We start from the raw sequence: 19,920 nt of genomic DNA, 5'->3' as shown, positions 1-19,920 counted from the left end.
CAAGATGGTTTTATAAATTATGTTATGTCTATGTATTAAGCATTTTTTAGCCATTAAAGTTATTTGTGTAACGTCTTAATCCAATAATGAACATAATACAATGTTAAATGAGAGAATCAAGGTATGATGAAATAACAATAAAAAATACCCTATGTGATACTTGTGGAGATCAGGAAATAATTGTATGGGTAATTTTCTCATCTATTAACTTTATTTCAAGTCATTTCATTGGTAAAAATAAATACTTTTAAAAGAGAAAATTTACCAGAAAGAAAATAAAGAGATTGATCTATAGCAATAAGCATGAATTTAACTAACACATGGCTTACTTAAGCTTCTTTGTTTTTTTTCTTTTAAAAATAGGTTTTTCTAACTTAGGCTTGGGTCTGTTTATTTTTTATTGTATATGTTAAAATATACAATGTGTTTTGACATACATGTAGATGCTGAAATAATTACTATAGTTAAACAAATTTACATATAGCTCACCTTCCATAGTTATCCTTTTGTAGGGTGTCAGAGCACCTGAAATCTACTCTTTTTGCAGTGCTTTCAGTTTACAATAGGATATTATTAACTATAGTCTTCATGCTGTACATTTTTGTCTGTCTACTTAATGTTCCTAACCTGACTGCAAATGTATAGCCTGTAACCGATTCTCCAGATATTCTCCCCCTCCCTGCTCTCTGTTTCTCATTTGACTTCAAGAAAAAAAGATTCCACATTTAAGTGAGGTCACAGTATTTTCTGCCTGTGTCTGGCTTATTTCACTTAGCATAGTGTCCTCCAGGTTTACCCACGATGTCACAAATGTCAGGATTGCCTTTTTTAGGGAAGAATTATGTAGATATATGTCACAATTTCTTTATCCATTTATCCACTGATGGGCATTTAGCTTGTTTTCATATCTTGGCTATTGTGAATAATGCTGTAGTGCAGCGGTCCCCAACCTTATTGGCACCAGGGACCAGTTTCATGGAAGACAGTATTTCCATGGACTGAGGAGGTGGCAGGGGATGGTTTCAGGGTGCAACGCTGCTACCTCAGATCATCAGGCATTAGTTAGATTCTCATAAGGAGCACACAACCTATTTAAAACATTATGCACAGTTCACAATAGGGTTTACGCTCCCATGAGAATCTAATGCCGCCACTTATATGGCAGGAGGTGGTGCTCGGGTGGTGATTCTCCCTTGCCTTCCGCTCACCTCCTGCTGTGCAACCCAGTTTCTAACAGGCTGTGGACCAGTACCAGTGTGTCACTAGGGGTTTGGGGACCTCTGCTGTAGTGAACATGGGAGTACAGATATCTCCACAAGGTGCCAATTGCTGAGTCATATGATAGTTATCCTTTTCATTTTTTGTAGCACCTCAATGCTGTTTTTATAATGGTTGTTCAACTTTCATTTCCACCTGCAAAAGAGAACAAGGGTTCCTTTTCTCTACCACCTCACCAACACTTAGGGCTGTTTATATTTTGAGCAAAGTCCTTTTTCACTTTCATTTCAATCAAAATGCAAGAAAGAATTAAATTGAGCTGCCGCTTATTTGGGAGATGTCACAAGATTTACTTCCTAAGAGTTTGTGAGAAGAACACATTTTCTGGCATTTGCTGTTGATCCAGAAGCATTTTCATTGCAGTGACTTTGTTTGGAGATTTTAACTTCTAAGTACTACTCTTATTTTGCTCTGCTTTTAGGATAATGTTTTAAATAAGATTTTTAAAGTTTCTCAAAACTGAAAACATTTTACCTCAGAGTAGAACTCAGTTAAATTTTTATTTAAAAGTAGGTTTTTGGTAACAGTAAATGTTTTGACAAGTTTTTACTTAATGGTTAATAAAATGCTACTAGGTCAGGTGCAGGAAGTAAAATTAGTCCTAAATTGAATTTGAGGAAGGCATGTAAGTAGAAGTAATATTAAGAAGGTGAATCATCAGTTGTATGATAGAACTGTTACTAATAAATACAACATGTGGTAATTGCAAGAATTAAGTTCATGAAATGTCTATTCAACTTTACAATCTTGCCCTACTAGAGTATTTAGTCATAGGGAACCTTACTGTGGTTGGACTCTGCCTGGCAATGCAGTTTAACTTAAAATTATCTAGGAATTATTTTTATAGGAAATTTTGCTAAAATCCACCTAGTTATATGAAGTATATTACTCTTGAGTAGCAACCAAGTAACTCAAACTGTAATTTAACCCTGTTAATGGAGGGAAGTAATATGGAAATACTAAAATTGACATTTTACAAAGTTGATCCCAGTATATCTCAGATGAAAAAAACTAGAATAATATATAAGAAAACAATTTTATACATTCCTTTTGTTCAATTTAGAAATAAGTCATTACAGATATCTTGCATGGCAAATATTAATGCAATTAACTTTTTTAACTTCTGAGATTATTTTTAATTTAAACTTGTATGTTTAAGATTTATTTTGTTTGTTTAGAGTGCTTGCCAGCAAACGCTGTGTTAATGTAATCTTAACTATTAAAATTGGATTTTTTTTCTGGCTGTGTACATATTTCTGTCATTTTGCTTTCTCATCAACCAGTTAAAATATTTTTTTTTCTGTTCATGTGAGTTTTTCATTTATATTTATGTATAAGGCACAGCACAGGCTGTGTTTCAAGTAAAATATTGGACTGATTTTGAGGGAGTTTTTTTTGTTTCTATCATTTTTAGTCTTTTTGAGGAAGTTGAATATTTTTCCAGAAGTGCTATACTTTATTCCTAGTACTTTCCAGATGATATTGATAACTCCAGGAACACTAGGAAACAGAAAACGTAATATCAATGTTAATTTTATAGAATATAAAATGTTATTCAACTGGCCTTTATTTTATTTACATATTTACATAGGGATATATGTGTAATTTACATCATTCCTAATTTCAAGAATAATTCTAAGTTATTTACTAAAGCACAAAAAGATTTAACAGAAGAATACTAAGTTGATAAGTAATTTTGGGAAAAATAGTGATACTAAAGGTAAAATAAATGAACTTGGGGGATAATGAGAGTAAACAAAAATTTATGTTTATAGAGTTTTGTTACTAGAGGAGAGTCTTATGTTATTAGAAGACACCATAGATTTGATGCTAAATGTACTAGTAATAAAAGCAAAATCTGTATCAATTACTACAGTATTTATTATTTATAATATAGCAGCTAATGCTTACCAGCCACTCATAACATTCTAAAAACTTTGTCCAGCATTTGATACGATTATCTTATTTAATTATTGCAATGACCCTGAGGAGTCCTGATGTTGTTATATTTTACATTTGCAGAAACAGAATCTCAAAGAAGTTAAGTGCCTTTCCTGAGATCACACAGCTATTAGCTGGTTGAGCTGGGAAGTCTGAGTCCAAAATCTATGCTCTTATTCACAGAATAAACATTTTTAAGGGGATAAAATATTAATAAATCAGAAAAGCATACCTTGTCTTAATTCTAAAGATAAGAAAAAAAAATTTTCTGTTGGGATTATGCTTGGTTCAAGGATAAAGTGGAGCCTATCTAGGGGAATGTCCGTAATGCATAACCTTCAGGCAATCCTTGTGAATATCTCTTTGCTCTTTGTTGTTACCAAATTATTTTGTCTTAAGGCTATGAGAAAATTGACTTTCTAAAAGCTGTGTCTCCGATGAACAGTTAATACTAAAGCCAAGGGGAAGACGTACTGGTCAGAATTATAGTAACTTTATCCTTACATATATCTAGAAGAAATACTCTTGTAACTGAGAGCTAAATCTAGAAATTCTTCTGTCATGCAGAATTTTGATAAATGTCCAATGCTATTTTTAGTTTTAAATGTTTTTTACGTATATGTTTTATTTTTGTATCATCTTTCACTTAACTATTGAACTACAGTTGTTCTGTGATATAAACTCTTACAAACAATATAGATTTGGCTTTAGTTTCATTAATTTTTCATAAATGCTTGAGTATTCATAGTACCTTATGAATTTATGATAAATTTATTACAGATTTATTCAGGCAGAGACATATTTGAAAATTTGTAATGAGGAAAAAAAATCATCTTATGAACAGCTCCATAATTTTACTTTCCTAATTGTGTGTACCTTTTGGGTCTATTTTATATTTATTTAAGTTTATATTGGTATTTATATATTCATATAAATACTTATTACATATTTATATAGGAATAATGCGAAGCCATGGTTAACTTCATAATCCAGGGATGCAGGCTTACCAAAAGACTGAGACCTCATCATAGGATAGAATGATTTTCCTTCTCACAATATAAAAAGTAAAGAAAAATAAATTAACCAAAACCTCTCTCATGCAAAAAGAAAACATTATTAACTTTTGGTGAAATTCAGACATCTCTTCCTGTGTGCATACTGTATGTAAAGAGGAAAAAGGGGAAGAATTAATGGTTGGATAAAATAAATGTACACAATATACTTTATATGTATTACTTCCTAATAAAAATTATTTCTTTTTTATATAACAAAATTGGAAACTAAGGTAAAACTGAAATAATTACTGTTGATTAGGGAAAACTTTCCCATCACATGTGTTTCTGTCATTTCTTTTGTTTCTCCCTTGATTTAGGTTTTTTTTAATGCGGTAGGCCAAAGTCTTAGGTGATTTGATATTAGTTTTAGCATAATTTGCACACATAGAATTCACAGAAGATATAATTTCATGCAAACATGTAAACTTTCAACTGTAAAATTTGTATGAAGGACTGTTATGTTTGCTATGATATGGGGAGACCATTTAGTCAATGAGGTCTTTGTACTTCCATTGTGATAATTTAGATAGCTTTTATTTTCTGAAATGTGTTTGAAAATGTGGAAAATATTTTAATATTTCCCTGGTTTTTTTGGCTTTCATGCTAATATATACATACATTCTAATGTATATTATATTCCATATAATGTATATTTTCTGCCATTTTTCAAGTGTTCTTTTCCCCTGGCCTTTCTTCTACCCTCCAATAATTTATTAAATGTTTTTAATCTCCCCCCCCAGCCTGTAATTTAGTTTTGTGCATTTTAAAGCAGTATTGGTTATATGCACTTCAGCAAACCAGTTTATGCCAGCTAAAGATTGAAAAGGAGAAATTAATTTAAGATTTAGTTCTGTGTTTTTTAAAACCTTTTTAAAGATGAAGATATTGATCTTGTATTACTAGTATTGAAGCAAACTCATATTGTTTAGTTCCTTATCATAAGTTAGAGGCGTTGGAGGGTTAAAGTTTTACCAAAGTAAATCATAATAGAACTGGACAATTTAATAGTGATGTCATATACAAAAGCTCAATTAATAATCCTATACAACCAGTAGGTGAAGATTTTATTTTATTAATAAAGCATCTGAAAATGAGCCTAGGGTCATAACTTTTAAGAACTAGGATTATAGGGTCATGCTTTATTCATGAATAGTAGACATGCTTTCTCTATAGTGAGCTAAGCTATACTTCTGAACTTGAATGATTGTCTCAGTGTTACCTTTATCTCAGATTCATCATTCATATTCCTTTTGAAATATCTTTATCTTGGTATAGATATTTATGTGTAAACACAATAGTTGCTATGTAATAGTTTCTGTTTAGCCATTAATTGGAGATACGTAATTAGAGTTGGTGCTGGGGTATCTTCTAGAAGAAAATGAGAAGGAGTGAGGGATTTGGGTGTGTCAAAGGAAGATAATGGAGAGGACTTGAAAGAATTCTTCTAAAATGAGAATTCTTACTATGCATGTCCATGAATTGTATTTAGGCCATAGGAGAACTTGTACAAGAAAATAAAATATGTCCCACTTCACTACTCTCTAATTTAGCATTTCCTTTAATTGCAAATAGTCCACAAACTACAATAGTGTTAGTAGCAACAATGACTTCATCTCCAACAAACATTGCAGATATTCTTATATCACATTACAGATGTTTCAGATAGCTTGGAATATGATTTATTGTTCACTACTTTGAAATTACAATATTTATTAGACTTCCCTCTATTAAATGCGTTGGTAAAGTAATATAGTTATGTATTATAGTTTCTGTTGGAATTCTCTGCATTTTATTTTAAGCATTTTTTAACCTTATTCTCACAAACGGACTAAGCTTCAGTAGACTGCCAAAGGGATCCATAGCATAAAAAATATAAAACCCTAGCTCTAAGAAGTAAGCTAATTCAGCTTTTTATTAACCTTTATTCTATTCCAAATGTGATAACATTTCTCCATTTTATCTGCCACCATGCATAAAGTTATAAGGGAAATTGCAAAATATTTTTCTACCAAGCTACCTATTTTATATTCAGATTATTTTAGTATTAAGTTCATCTTGTAACATGTTTTAGGCTTTGGAAGATTAGCCTTAATGTTTTTATTTGTCAATATAAATTTATATTAAAATACATATTATTAATACTTATTTCTAACATATTATTTATTATTTTCAGTGCACTGTGCTAAGGATTCACCTCCATTATTGCATTCAATTCAGCAACCTCATGAGCTTAGGTTTAATCATGCATTTGTATTTTTATAGAATAAATCTACCCAAGAGAATGGGGAAAATGAAAAATTGTTAACTAATTTAAGCCCATCCCAGTCCAAAACCAGTCGAAACATCTCAATGAAGTAAAGGTAGAATGATAACTGCATTTACAAATATTTCTTGGTAGGAAAAAAGTATTTTATTCTAATAAATAGAAACATGTTAAGCATAATGTTATTCATATTAATAATGAATATTAAACATTAACATTAAGTATTATATATAAAACATTAACATATTAAACATAAATAAGTAGAAAGTTAGGTTTCATTTTGATCTTAATAATTTAAGAGTAACAACTGGCACAGTGTTCAAATAAGTAGCACCTAGAATTGTGCTAATCACATAGAAAAACAGAAAACCCGAAGGCACAAAAGCCTATCAGTGTTGATGTCCACATTGCTGTTTTCCAAGTATTTGACTACCGTCTCTGAGCAAGATTCTCTACAGATCTTATCAATATTTGTAGCTTCCTGCAATTTGTTTTACTACTCAAAGTTTACGATTAATGGACCTCTCCCTAATAGATTTAACTAAGTATGTCTGCTCTTTCTTTCATTAATTGAGCACATGAAGTATGTGACTCATTCTTAAGTTGAAATACTGCCTTCAGCAAGGATTTGACAATCAATTCAATCAATTATTTCTAAATATATTTGGATTTATTGCTTTCATCTCAGGCTCTTTCTGTATATATGAAAAGTGTTAAGACAGTTTTAAGGAGTGCATGAGCTATACCCACATTCTGGCTTTCCCAACACATGCAGACATGGGAAGGCCCAAAAAGAGGTCAGTGTCCTCTCATTTTCTCTTTCATGCACAAATGTATAAACACACGCAAAGACACAGAGGACAAAACAAGATAAAATGGAGTAAATTTAGATTTTAAAAAATGTAAGATTCAGTTCACTGGTAGCTGTATTATATATCATACATTTTTAGCAACACATGTAAGATTTATGTCTTGAATAATATAAAAAAAGGTTCATCTGCTTGTAAAATGTAAGTCTTATAGTTCAACATAATAGATAAACATCAAAACTAGTATCCTCATTAGGTTGTATAATGGTATATTGCCACTTACTGTTATTTAAATGTCATCCCCATTTCCTTTTTGTAGTGCTGATGTTAACCTTGTAAGCTCTAAATTGTCTGGAAGTTAATGGTCTGTTATATGAGTTTCATAGTTCTTAGTGAAAGAATATTAGATTATATTATGCAGTTTGAAATGTAACTTGATCTCTACCTCATAATCATAAGTAATGACATAGTCTTGGTTGAAATTAGGGACGTTTGCTTTTTCTGCTGATGCTGTCCATAGTATAAATGATAATTTTTATTTTTTTGTTTTAAATTGACAAATATGTTTATTTGTCCATTCATTACACCCAAGTTTATGAGGGTTAGAAAAGAGAACAAATATAAGCATATAAGAGTACAGTGTACTTCTTGAAAATCAAACTTTGAAATTTATCTTATTAAAGTTGGTAAATTCAGAAGCATTATATTCTGTCAGCACCCACATATACCCTTGTCTGGCTTTGAGAGAGTTTTATTTTTTTAATTTTATAAGAGTTAAATTTGAATTGGAGCTAATGTAACTGACAAGAGGGAAATAGAAGCAATTGGCTTGCACTAAACAAGTTTGAATGGTTGTTAATGTGAATGACTTTCAGGCAGTGAATGTCAGAGAACAGTAGATTACTTTCTTTACCTCGGGCATTTTAAACCATCTCCTGTGGTAGGATTAACATAATTTCTCTCTCTCTTTCTTGAATCTAGGAAGCAAAGTAATTGGAGTCTGGTAATTTTGGCCTGTGGGTGATGAAGATAAATCATAACAAGCTATGGAATACACATTGACAATTCACATAGGGCTACTAGAACATGAACTTTCAGTAATGCATTAAACAAATATTGTTTCTTTCTGATTTATATTCAAGAAAGCCACAGAACTGTTAATTATGAATGCAGTTATCGTTTGTTATTTTTGACTAAATTCACATGCAAAACAAATTGTTTCAAAATATAAGCTATTGTGTTCTTAAACATGGGCTAAGAAGTTGTATCTTTTATATGATTTTGAGTGATCATATTTGTTTAACCGAAATTATTTGAGATTTTAAAAGAATAGAGGTGGAAGAGAATACAAGACCATCTGGTCTAGCCCCTCTCCTTAAGGCTTATAAATGTATACATCATCTTGAGCAGATGGAGGTGTACTCACCTAAAATTTTATACAAATATAGGTTCTACAGTTCCATTCAATATCTTATTCTTGAATTTGGTCACTAAAGCATTAAAGGATCCTATTTTATATTCAGATTATTTTAGTATTAAGTTCATCTTGTAACATGTTTTAGGCTTTGGAAGATTAGCCTTAATGTTTTTATTTGTCAATATAAATTTATATTAAAATACATATTATTAATACTTATTTCTAACATATTATTTATTATTTGCAGTGCACTGTGCTAAGGATTCACCTCCATTATTACATTCAATTTAGCAACCTCATGAGCTTAGGTTTTGTTGTCTCCATTACAGATTTAGGAAAGCAAGAGTAAGGAAAGTTAAGTAATGTGGCCAAGCACATGGCTAATGAAAAGAGTTGCTATAACTTAAATTTCTGGACTAAACTTTTTCCTACTGATCTACCTCCTCAGTGTTAAGAGTGCAAACTCCTTCTCTCTTAGGGCAAAATTTCTGTCACTTTGTTGTTCATCCACTTTGTATCATCTTATAGTCCTCTTTTCTCAGCTAATGGGAGTATATCTCGTGTTTTTGAAACTTTTGTTCATTATCATCCATACCAGCCATTTTAGAATTTGTTTCCTAATGTCTTCTGATGAAATTTTTAATACCACAAATATGCTGTGTATCTGTTTATGTATGTGTATAAAAAGAGTAGTATTTTTTGTCCCCTCTAAGAATCAGTTTCCCCCTTGGTACTGATATTGCTCCCTTTTAGAATGAATGTAGTTATCACTATTACTGTACATTTTTGATTGCATAAGTACATAATTATTTTTACTTAATATGAAATGTTAATTTGTTAGAGTATGAAAATATTAAAATATCAACAGTAATTGTCCTCTTTTTAAGTTACGTGAGCTTTCCAATGCCCTGAAATGAGAATAATTTTGAAGAAGAATATAGATATCAAGATATAAATGAAGTTTAATTCTTTTATAACAATATGTAATTTGTGCTACTAAAGAAACCTCAGGATGTAAGTAAACATAATCCTGCCCATTTTACCTGTTTTTAGACCTTTTGCTAAATTTTTTGTTTATCCAAATATATGCCATCTTACCATAAATCTGTATTCCTCTCTGTTTTGACATCACAATCTATTGCCATGGAAGTGATTGATAGCTTACATTTATCTTCATGTCTTCAGAGCAGGTTCATAAGGAGACTGTCTGGAAGAAATAGACTTTATTGGTACCAGCACAAGCAGACTTTTAGAGGTCCTGTACAAGTTTACGTCCATCTGTATTTTTTTTTTAAATACAAGAGTTGCAAATTGGTACTTTAGAAAGTGTGAAGACTTTGCTTTTCATTCTGTAATTTCCATTCAAAAACCATATTTGATTATGATTCTTTCTAAAATATTCAAATAATGGGTTTTCCACAACTTTCATACTTTAAATATAAAATGAGCTTACAACCCGTGAGTAGGAAACTGTGGTAATGGAACATATTCAGCTTTATCATGTTATGCAGAAATACAGCAGTTAGGAATGAAACCTCATTGATAGGTTCTTTTACTGGGAAATAAACCAGAAGGTGATGAAAATCACTTGGCATTTTTATATGTAGTTTGTAGAAAGTTCCTAGTCTGGGGCTTTGATCTACTTCATTGGATCAAAAACATAATAAATTGAATCTTGAAACTTGCTATATCCTTTTGGAATTACACCTAATATTGAATTATTCATGTAGATGAAACTGATCATTTAGGTTTCAGAATTTCTTTTTTTCTGTAATGGTTCCAGTTCTTTTTTGCATGAAGTTTTTTGTTGTTGTTGTTTTATACTGAATTTTACAACCCTTCAGATATAAAAGAGGCATTTCTGTACTGTCTCTTGTCACTCAAAACTAATTTTGATTTCATTGACTACCCCATATATGTTCAGAAACTAAAATAATTTCAATATAGTCAATTAATTAAGTGAAGGATTTTTGACCCCTACAATGATTTTGATCTGTATTAGTCTTGAGGAGGTAAGAACTTCAAAAATTATTACCTGTGAGGGAGCCCATGACAACCATCACATTTTCATGTACATACAGAAAAGAATGATACTGTATATAGGAGTAAAGTAGAGGAATTAAACAAGCTTCCTATTCAAATGAAGATTTTTTAAAAAGCTATAACTATTAACTGTTTGATGAAGGTTTTGAAAGGAAACGTGAAGTGGCCACTGTGCAGATATGGTTTGAGTGACTTAACGGGTCAAGTATTTGACAACAGTAATGCTTCCTGTGGTTTTTATATGAAGGAAAAAATGAAAAATAGGAAACAGAAACCAGAAGTTTATGTAAACCTACATAAATTAACTCTTAAATGATTTATTTTATTTTGAAGTGTCTGTGTATTGTGGATGAACCAAACGTTCAGACTTTCTTCCAGTGCTCTTGGCCCTCCTCTATTAAATGTGTGTCTTGTTCCCTTTCCAGCGTACATACAGCTCAGTCAGTAGGAACTAGACAGAGAAGCTGTTCACTTAAAAAGTTGTCATTTCCTTATAGATACTTTCTTTTCTTTATTATTATACTTTAAGTTCTAGGGTACATGTGCACAACGCGCAGGTTTGTTACATATGTATACATGTGCCATGTTGGTGTTCTGCACCCATTAACTCATCATTTACATTAGGTATTTCTCCTAATGCCTTCACTCCCCCCTGCCCCCACCCCACGACAGGCCCCAGTGTGTGATGTTCCTCTCCCTGTGTCCAAGTGTTCTCATTGTTCGATTCCCACCTATGAGTGAGAACTTGCAGCGTTTGGTTTTCTGTCCTTGTGATGTAGAAAGCTGAAACTGGATCCCTTCCTTACACCTTATACAAAAATTAATTCAAGATGGATTAAAGACTTAAATGTTAGACCTAAAACCATAAAAACCCTAGGAGAAAACCTAGGCAATACCATTCAGGACATAGGCATGGGCAAGGACTTCATGTCTAAAACACCAAAAGCAATGGCAACAAAAGCCAAAATTGACAAATGGGATCTAATTAAACTAAAGAGCTTCTGCACAGCTAAAGAAACTACCATCAAAGTGAACAGGCAACCCACAGAATGGGAGAAAATTTTTGCAATCTACCCATCTGACAAAGGGCTAATATCCAGAATCTACAAAGAACTTAAACAGATTTACAAGAAAAAATCAACCCCATCAAAAAGTGGGTGAAGGATATGAACAGACGCTTCTCAAAAGAAGACATTTATGCAGCCAGTAGACACATGAAAAAATGTTCATCATCACTGGCCATCAGAGAAATGCAAATCAAAACCAAAATGAGATACCATCTCACACCAGTTAGAATGGCAATCCTTATAGATACTTTAAATATTATTTTTCTTGAGTATTTATATTTAATGCAACTGGAAAAGAAATAAACTTAGAAATTTAAATGACTGTGGAATGTTTTTAACCATTCACAAGCTGTATAATAATCCATAATAATCCAAAACAAATATCAAGTCACTTTAGTTTTAGAGAAATGTTATTCTTTATAGGTTTGTGGTTTATTTAGTCAACTGTGATGTGCTTCATAATACTGATATAAATATATGTTTAAAAAGATAGTTAAAAATAATCTCATGTATATGTTTTAAGAAATGAGATAATCCTGAGAGTCTTAAAGTATCTTTCCCATTTAAGAAAAAAGTAGAAGCAAGTATTAAAAGGATGCAGTAGTGTTGAAAGACAGTTTATGAAAAATCAATAGCCTATGCTCAGACATGAAAGCTTATTAATTCTCTAGTGGAGTCTGGAACAACTTCCTGTGATCAGACACATTAGTCTCCCTGAAGCAAAAGCAAGAGGGATTATTAAATACTATAAACTGCCTCATCATAGTTCAGAATTTGAATAAACTTTTGGTTTTCAGAGCTTTTATTCCTGATGTTGGACAAATCATGATGGATCTGTAGTAATTCATTTGCATTCTTACGATAAGTTATTATTATACCCATTTTAAAGGCATAGAAACCGAAAGAAAAAGGAGTTGGGTAACTTCTTTTGGGTCACACAGTTATTAAAAGGACTCAGGCAGTCTGACTTTACAAATCGTGTTCTTAAACATGATGCTATACTGCCAGTGTGACAGACATGCATGTATATATACATACAGACACATGTATAAATAAGCATTTAGAACTATTTAGAAGTGGATCCCAAAACTTCTATACATTTATATAATTGCTTTAAATAAAGGTTATTTTCTTAAATAACGATTGTATATTCCTCTCATCTTTTTGTTGCCAGTATGATATGGTTTGGCTCTGTGTCCTCACTGAAATCTCATTGTGAATTGTAATCCCCTCATGTAGGAGGAAGGGCCTGGTGGGAGTTGATTGAATCATGGGGGTGGACTTCCCCATTGCTGTTCTTGTGATAGTAAGTTCTTACAAGATCTGGTTGCTTGTAAGCACATGGCACTTCCACCTTCACTGTCTCTCTCTCTCTCTTGCTCCACCATGGTTAAATGTGCTTACTTCCCCTTCACCTTCTGCCATGATTATAAGTTTCCTGAGGCCTCCAAGCCATGCTTCCTGTTAAGCCTATGCAACTGTGAGTCCATTAAACCTCTTTCCTTGATTAAATTACTGAGTCTCAGGTAGTTCTTTATAGCAATGTGAGAATGGACAAATACCTAGTATGTATTATGCTTTTTATTCTCCAGATTATTATCAAAGCTTGTATTTAGGTGGATATTTAAGAAATTCCATATTTTTTGTTTTTATTTCAGGTCTAATTTATAAAATATTAGCTTATATTGGGAATTTCAACTTTATGACATATAGTTTAAAGAATACATAGATGACCAAACACAAACACTCATGGTAAATCATGAGAAAAAAATGTAGTCAAAACTATAAAATTTAAGTTGTAAGAAACTTGCAATAATTGCTACATCAGCACAGAACTTACGTTTCTTAAACTTGGTGTTTGTACCCTGGAATGGATAGGTGGACAGCAGAATTATGTTTACTGGTGTTCACCACATAAGTTAGGAATGCTTCCCAATATTTTTATTACTGATCTTGCACTTTTTAATTTATCCAAACTTTTGTGACTCTTTGGAGCAATGACTGATACCACATTTGAACCAGGTATATACTAGAGCTTGAAACATCTCATAACACTAGAAAATAAGGAAGGTATCAAAGCTTACTAAAGTTCTGTCACAAGAATTGAGGAGCCAGCTTGAAATCACTACCACTAGCCAGTCTGAGGTAAAATAAAAAGATTGAAACAAAGGAAGTAACTGTAATGGACTGAATCACATAAAATATATTTTAAAATTCTTAATATTAGGTTGGTGCAAAAGTAATTGCAGGTTTTGCCATTAATTTCAATGGCAAAACCTGCAGTTACTTTTACACCAATCTATAGATTATAAAATTGATATCGCTGATAATCTTTGGATGATAGTAGGAAACCAACATATTCTGAAACCTATAGGGAAAGAAATATTTAACACGCCTTTCCTAAATTAACCGTAACTCAAGATAACTAAATAGCTGAAGAGTGAAGCCTCCCTGTATTTATTCCAACTAATGAATAAAGACAAAATGGTAGAATTATAATATTTCCACTGTGCAAAACTTAATAAAATGGATTTAGGTGATGATTTTAATGGCTGTTAATATTCCAAAAAATGGAGCACTGAATATTCTGAGCCTCCTAATAGAAGTATACGACACCTACGAAATATTTTTGCCAAAAATATTCAAGTCTGAATCTTATCAAACTTCTAGTATAACTACCAGTTTACAGGATATTCTGGGCACTGAGAGATGTGTGAATAATACTAAGCAAAGAAATCTAGAATGTAGGACTTTCTATTATATAATGTATAAATATTGCTAGGATGTACTAATACTCTAGTACTAATATTCAGGTTTCTTTAATCACCCAAGTGCTGTGTGAGAATGGGAGAGGAGAGAAAGGACTTACAGATTAAAGAGACTTAAAAGGCTTATCAACCAAAACACAATGTGTGGACATTATTCAGATCCAAATTTGAACAAATCAACTAATATAGTTAATGAATCTAGGTACATGTGGGTTTGTTACATTCTTCTATCTACTTTTCTGTATGTTTAATATTTTCCAAAGTAAACATAAAAATGGAATATAGGTTTGTACCTCTACCTGTATTTTCATCTTTCATCACTATGTAAGTAACAAATTATGAGAATTTATAAAAGCTGGAAATTGGGTTATCATTTTCATTATTTTTGAAATTATCTGTAATTGCATTTTATTTCCTCTTTGATGAAGTAATTCCTTAGGCGAGCCATTAAAAAAAATCTCCCATTGGTTTTGACTGTTGTATTACATGTGATCAAAAATGAGGTAGTGTAATTTGTGCGTTTTTGAAAATTTTTAGTCCTCACTATCCAGGTTAATGTTGATTTTTTTGTTGTTGTTTACAAAGATATATAGACTATTAAAGAAGAAATTTTTATCTAAAATATGGTAGTTTACCATCATTAAACCTTCTTTGTCATTATATTGCTAAAGTCAGCGAGATCATTTTAGGTCGCAGTGATTTTTTTACAGATACTAATGGCTGACACCAATAAAACTGAATTTTGCTCAATTTTTTTCCTAATTTTTTTGCTATTGCCATTCTGATGCTATATGCTTCAGTAGAGATTCATATTTGTTATGCCTTCATTATGAATTGGATTTTCTCTTTTGTCAATATACAAATTCTCAATTTTAATTATTAATATATATCAATTATTTATTAACAGATAAGATGTGACATGCAACTGAGATCACTACATTATTCATAACAATTATGACTCTTAATGTTAAGTCTTAGGAAATAAACCTGTCTTAGCTTTTTCTATCCTTCTTCTTTAATTTTTCTGTCACAATCATGGCCTGCTCTAATCAGAAATCAATTCTTAGCTAAAGAATACATGCTTCTGAATTCCTAAGCTTCCATCATTATTATTGACAGTATTTGTGGAGTTTTACTTTTTTCTTGGGACCATGGAGAGTGAAGCACATTTTGATAAATGGAGGTCTGAACTATACCTTTATACTGGATAGTATAAAAGCCTTTTTAGCTATTTTAATATTTCAGGGGAAAAGACCATTTTGTCTTGGGAAAATTGAATGAACGAATTTTCCATAAAATGAAATGATTAACAAAATCTTGCTGAATTTCATGTTTTTATTTAGCAGGTATTGTATCTAAAACGTTGTCATTGTCTGTCAGAACAGTGTTATAATGCCTTTATCTTAAATTCTTTATAAACTAGCTGATTCTTGAAGGGGAGGGCAGTATATTTGCTTACATTCATTGTTAATTTGAAAGATGGATTTCAAACTGTAGAGCTGCCGTGAAAAATATAATGCTAATTGTAGTTTGAAAAGCCCAGACACCTTCTGATAGTACAGTTTTACACCCAAGTAATTTAAATCAAAATCTGGAAAACACTTTTTTTTCTTTTGATAGCATATATGTAATATGCCTTAATTAATAGGAAAATCCACATGCTGGAGAATGGTGAACATGATTAAATAGATTAAATTACTTTTCTTATACTATGCATTAATAGCTTTCTCAACCATGTCCCAGCGGCTGCAGCACATTGTGCTATACCTTACTGAGGAAATCGCCTGATTTTTTTTTTTAATCAGTCTTCACTATCTTGCCATTTTTTACCATTATCATTCTAACTTAGTGAAATCCTGGTTTTCTCAAGTGTCTAGTCTTTCTTTGATTTTGATTTCACATATCATACACATCAGTTATTTATATTTTATCTTGTTAATCAACTAATTTCTTCACATATTTTATTTTTCTTCCCAAACACATTTTTGTTCAACTTGAAGGCAAAAAGTATCCTTGGTTCTGGATCATTTTCCTCATGGTTCTCAGTTGTAGAGAGGTGGAAGACACATGACAAATTCTAGTTTAACTGGATTCTGTAATTTAAAAAAAGAGGTGTTACAGAGTCAGTCCTGCAGATGTTTGAGTTCCAGACCCTTCCAGGCAGGTCACCAGGTACTGCCTCTAGACTTAGATGATGTCCCCTGATAATTCTGTCACTCTTCTTCCGCAAGTTGCTCCCCCTTTGTGAGTCACATCATATAAATGATATTATTTTAATACTTTCTCTGTCACGATCTGTCCACTCTAAGCAGACCTTATTTATTTTTAATCACCCTTTTGCCACGTGGGTCTGCTTTTTCTCATTCCTTTTCACTTTATCACCGTCTTAGGGGACTTAACTAGCCAAATGGATAACCCATTTCCTTGTTTTTCTGTTTCCATGAGCACCCACACACTGCTCAGACCCTTTGATTTCTAGCATTAAACTTATCAATTCAACCTCTTCCTCCTCACTACATTGATTTTTTTTTTTTCCTACCCAGCCTCATTGCAAAACCCAATTCCTCAGTCTCTCTAAGTTTTTCTCCTTTCCCTACCCTGTCAGGATCTGTTCTTGGACTATTTCACCAGTGTACTCACTCCAGCTAGGGTGCCTCTCCCCTGATATCCCTCGTTTTGTCAGACTTCATTGAATAAATCCCACAATCAATGTGACCTGAAGTCCTGTCACTGTGCTCATTGGTTCTAGTAGACATCTAGTTTACCATCAGTACTTTGGATTCATCTCTTTCCACTTCTTATTTCTGAGAGCAGCTGGTGGCTCTGACGACGTCCCATTCTTTAAAACATCTAACCATTCTCTTAACTCTCAGCTACAAATCTTCCCTTTGATTTTAGTGAGAAAAATCAACGGCATTTAATGTTAACTCCACGATTACTGTTTCTTTCCTCAACAAAACATTTTTTAGAATGTCCTCCCTTCTACCTTCTTCCTGACCTTGTGGCACTTACATCCTATGCCTTTTCAGAGATAATAGCCCCTTCCTAGGTCTCCTTAATCTTTGGTGCTCTGGTCTCTGCAGGGACCTTTTCCATCAAACAATTCATCTTGAAATTTTTATCTTCATTAAAGCAGCCACAAATATTCATATTCTTAAATCTCATCAAGAAAAAAAAACCCTTTAATTTGACCCCAGTTTCCCTGATTATACTCTATTTTATTTTTTCTTCATTAGTGAAAGTTTCAAAGAATTGCCTTTTTATCATTCTTGCCTCTATAGTATTTACTCATTAATCATCTGTTATTCTGTTTCCTTGATCACTCCATTCAAACTTCTTTTTTAGAAGTTTGTAATAACCTTCTAGTAGTTAAATCTAATTTTCCTAAGATACCACGTTCTCTACAGTGGAAGCCTTTGTGTAACGTAAAAGAAGCATAGATTTATAGAATCTTTATTTGAATGTTACTTATATTTATGCTACCTTCTGACAAATAGGTGTGTATATGTGTGTGTGCACACTTTTTTTTTTAAATAACTATCTGATCTGCAGTTTTCATCTATGAAGAATTTATGGTCTTTCCTACTACTTCTTACAGTTGTATGTTTAACTATGTATGGGATCTCTTACCATTTTTAGTGCCTCATATTTAGTAATAATCTACTAAAGAGATGTTTAAAGCTATATAGATAAAGATTAAGGACTGTCTTTAAGAATGCCTTAATTTTTCTCCCCCTTTCTCTCCTACCCTTGACTTAATTTTTTGTGGCAATATACATTCATAAAGTAAAATCTGATAGAGCAATCATATGGGATTTTAAAAATATAGTTCCAAGTACATTACTAATGGACAAAAGGAAAGCTGAAATCCATAAAATGGGGTAAAAAAAACTCCTCCTCCCTTTTTTGAATTTTTAAATTTTTTATTTATCTTGAAATTCTGGTTTAATTTGCAACAGATCTAGAAATTCAAGTCAATTTAACAAACATTTGTTGAATTCAGTAAGGCTTCACAGCCTGAAATATCAATCAAAATTACTTTTTTTTACCTTATATTCCTTTAATATTTTGTTTTAGTCCTACAATCCCCTTGTAACATGATATGCTATATTTGAGTTATTGTCAGTAATAATAACTGACATTTTAAACCATAATTGTCTTTGCCAAATACTATGCATGCTAATCACCTTACATACTTTGACTAATCTTTTATAAAAACATGAAACCCAAAAAAGAACATTTTCATCCTCCTATAATGATGAGTAACACAGAATGTGTAAATAAATTTCCCCAGGTCTGTAGATAGAGCCAGGATTTGACATTAAATCTGTCTTTTTCATAGCGTTGCCCTTCCCTTCTTCAGTAGTTTTATACTTAGACACTTGGGACACCTCAAGGAAAATGCGATATCCAGGAGGAAAGGGATAAACAGATGTTTATATAATATTATAACAGGGCACATTTTCAAAGCATGAATAGCAGTCAGCTGTTTGAAAGTGTCAAGGAAGCAGAGAAGTCTTGACAGAAGGCGTAACATTTGGAATGCCTCTAAAAAGATGAGCAGGGAAGGCCGGGGAGGGAAATGATGGCATATTCCCGAGTGAGGGAACAGTGAGTTCAAAGTGTGGGCCCTTCAGGGTCTGCTGAGGCTAGAATGTAGGACATATACCAATTTATTAGGTTTTACTTGTTTGTTTCATAAACAATGGTAGAGTTATATACCTCCTCTCTTGAATCCAGTTTTGTTGGAACTGTTCATTTATTTAGCCTATTGACCACTATGTATTTGTGTGAGTCAAAAGGAATAAAATCAGAAATGATTTTATGTGATATTAAAAGCTTTAAAAAGCAATACTAAGCCCAGTGCAGTAATTATAGATCTGTGACCCCACCCCCACTCTTACCCCTGGAGTTTTGAGTCTGGTTTACTGCTATATTGATTGTAGCTAAAATCACAACCAGATCCGCTAAACTTCTTGGCATTCCTTTTAACCCAAATTGATACTAATGAATGTCTTAAGACTACATTGTGCCTCCAGCTCATGAGCAAACATTATGTCTGTTTCATCATCCAGTAGAATGATAAGATTCATTTAGGGTTATTGAGGAAGATTCTGTAATTGTAATGAAATCCTGGCATGTTGTAACTCTCAGAACACTGTTCCCCATAGTGAACATCTACAATTAGTTGGAAGTAATCTCAGTTCTAAAGGCCTTCAGCAGTGACTACCTCTTCTCTTACCTATCATTTGCATGCACATAAATCCAATGCTGATTTA

At 32.3% G+C, this 19,920-nt stretch overlaps 1 protein-coding gene and 1 long non-coding RNA gene across 7 annotated transcripts in view; both read left to right on the top strand.

Moving 5' to 3' along the window:
• The window catches only part of PTPRK (protein tyrosine phosphatase receptor type K), a 551,815-nt gene that overhangs the window by 350,868 nt on the left and 181,027 nt on the right, over window positions 1-19,920 (top strand). The window lies entirely within an intron of this gene.
• Window positions 1-19,920, top strand: part of LOC124900216 (uncharacterized) — a 61,437-nt gene that overhangs the window by 14,694 nt on the left and 26,823 nt on the right. Inside the window, exon 2 of the long non-coding RNA XR_007059752.1 lies at window positions 1-19,920. This exon is cut by the window's left edge and continues 9,206 nt beyond it; it is cut by the window's right edge and continues 26,823 nt beyond it. This is a non-coding gene — a long non-coding RNA (uncharacterized LOC124900216).

The sequence above is a fragment of the Homo sapiens genome, chromosome 6 (genome assembly GCF_000001405.40).
Source record: "Homo sapiens chromosome 6, GRCh38.p14 Primary Assembly".
Classification (NCBI taxonomy): domain Eukaryota; kingdom Metazoa; phylum Chordata; class Mammalia; order Primates; family Hominidae; genus Homo; species Homo sapiens.
Note: the sequence above shows the minus strand (reverse complement) of the source record. Positions and strands in the feature narration are given on the sequence as shown.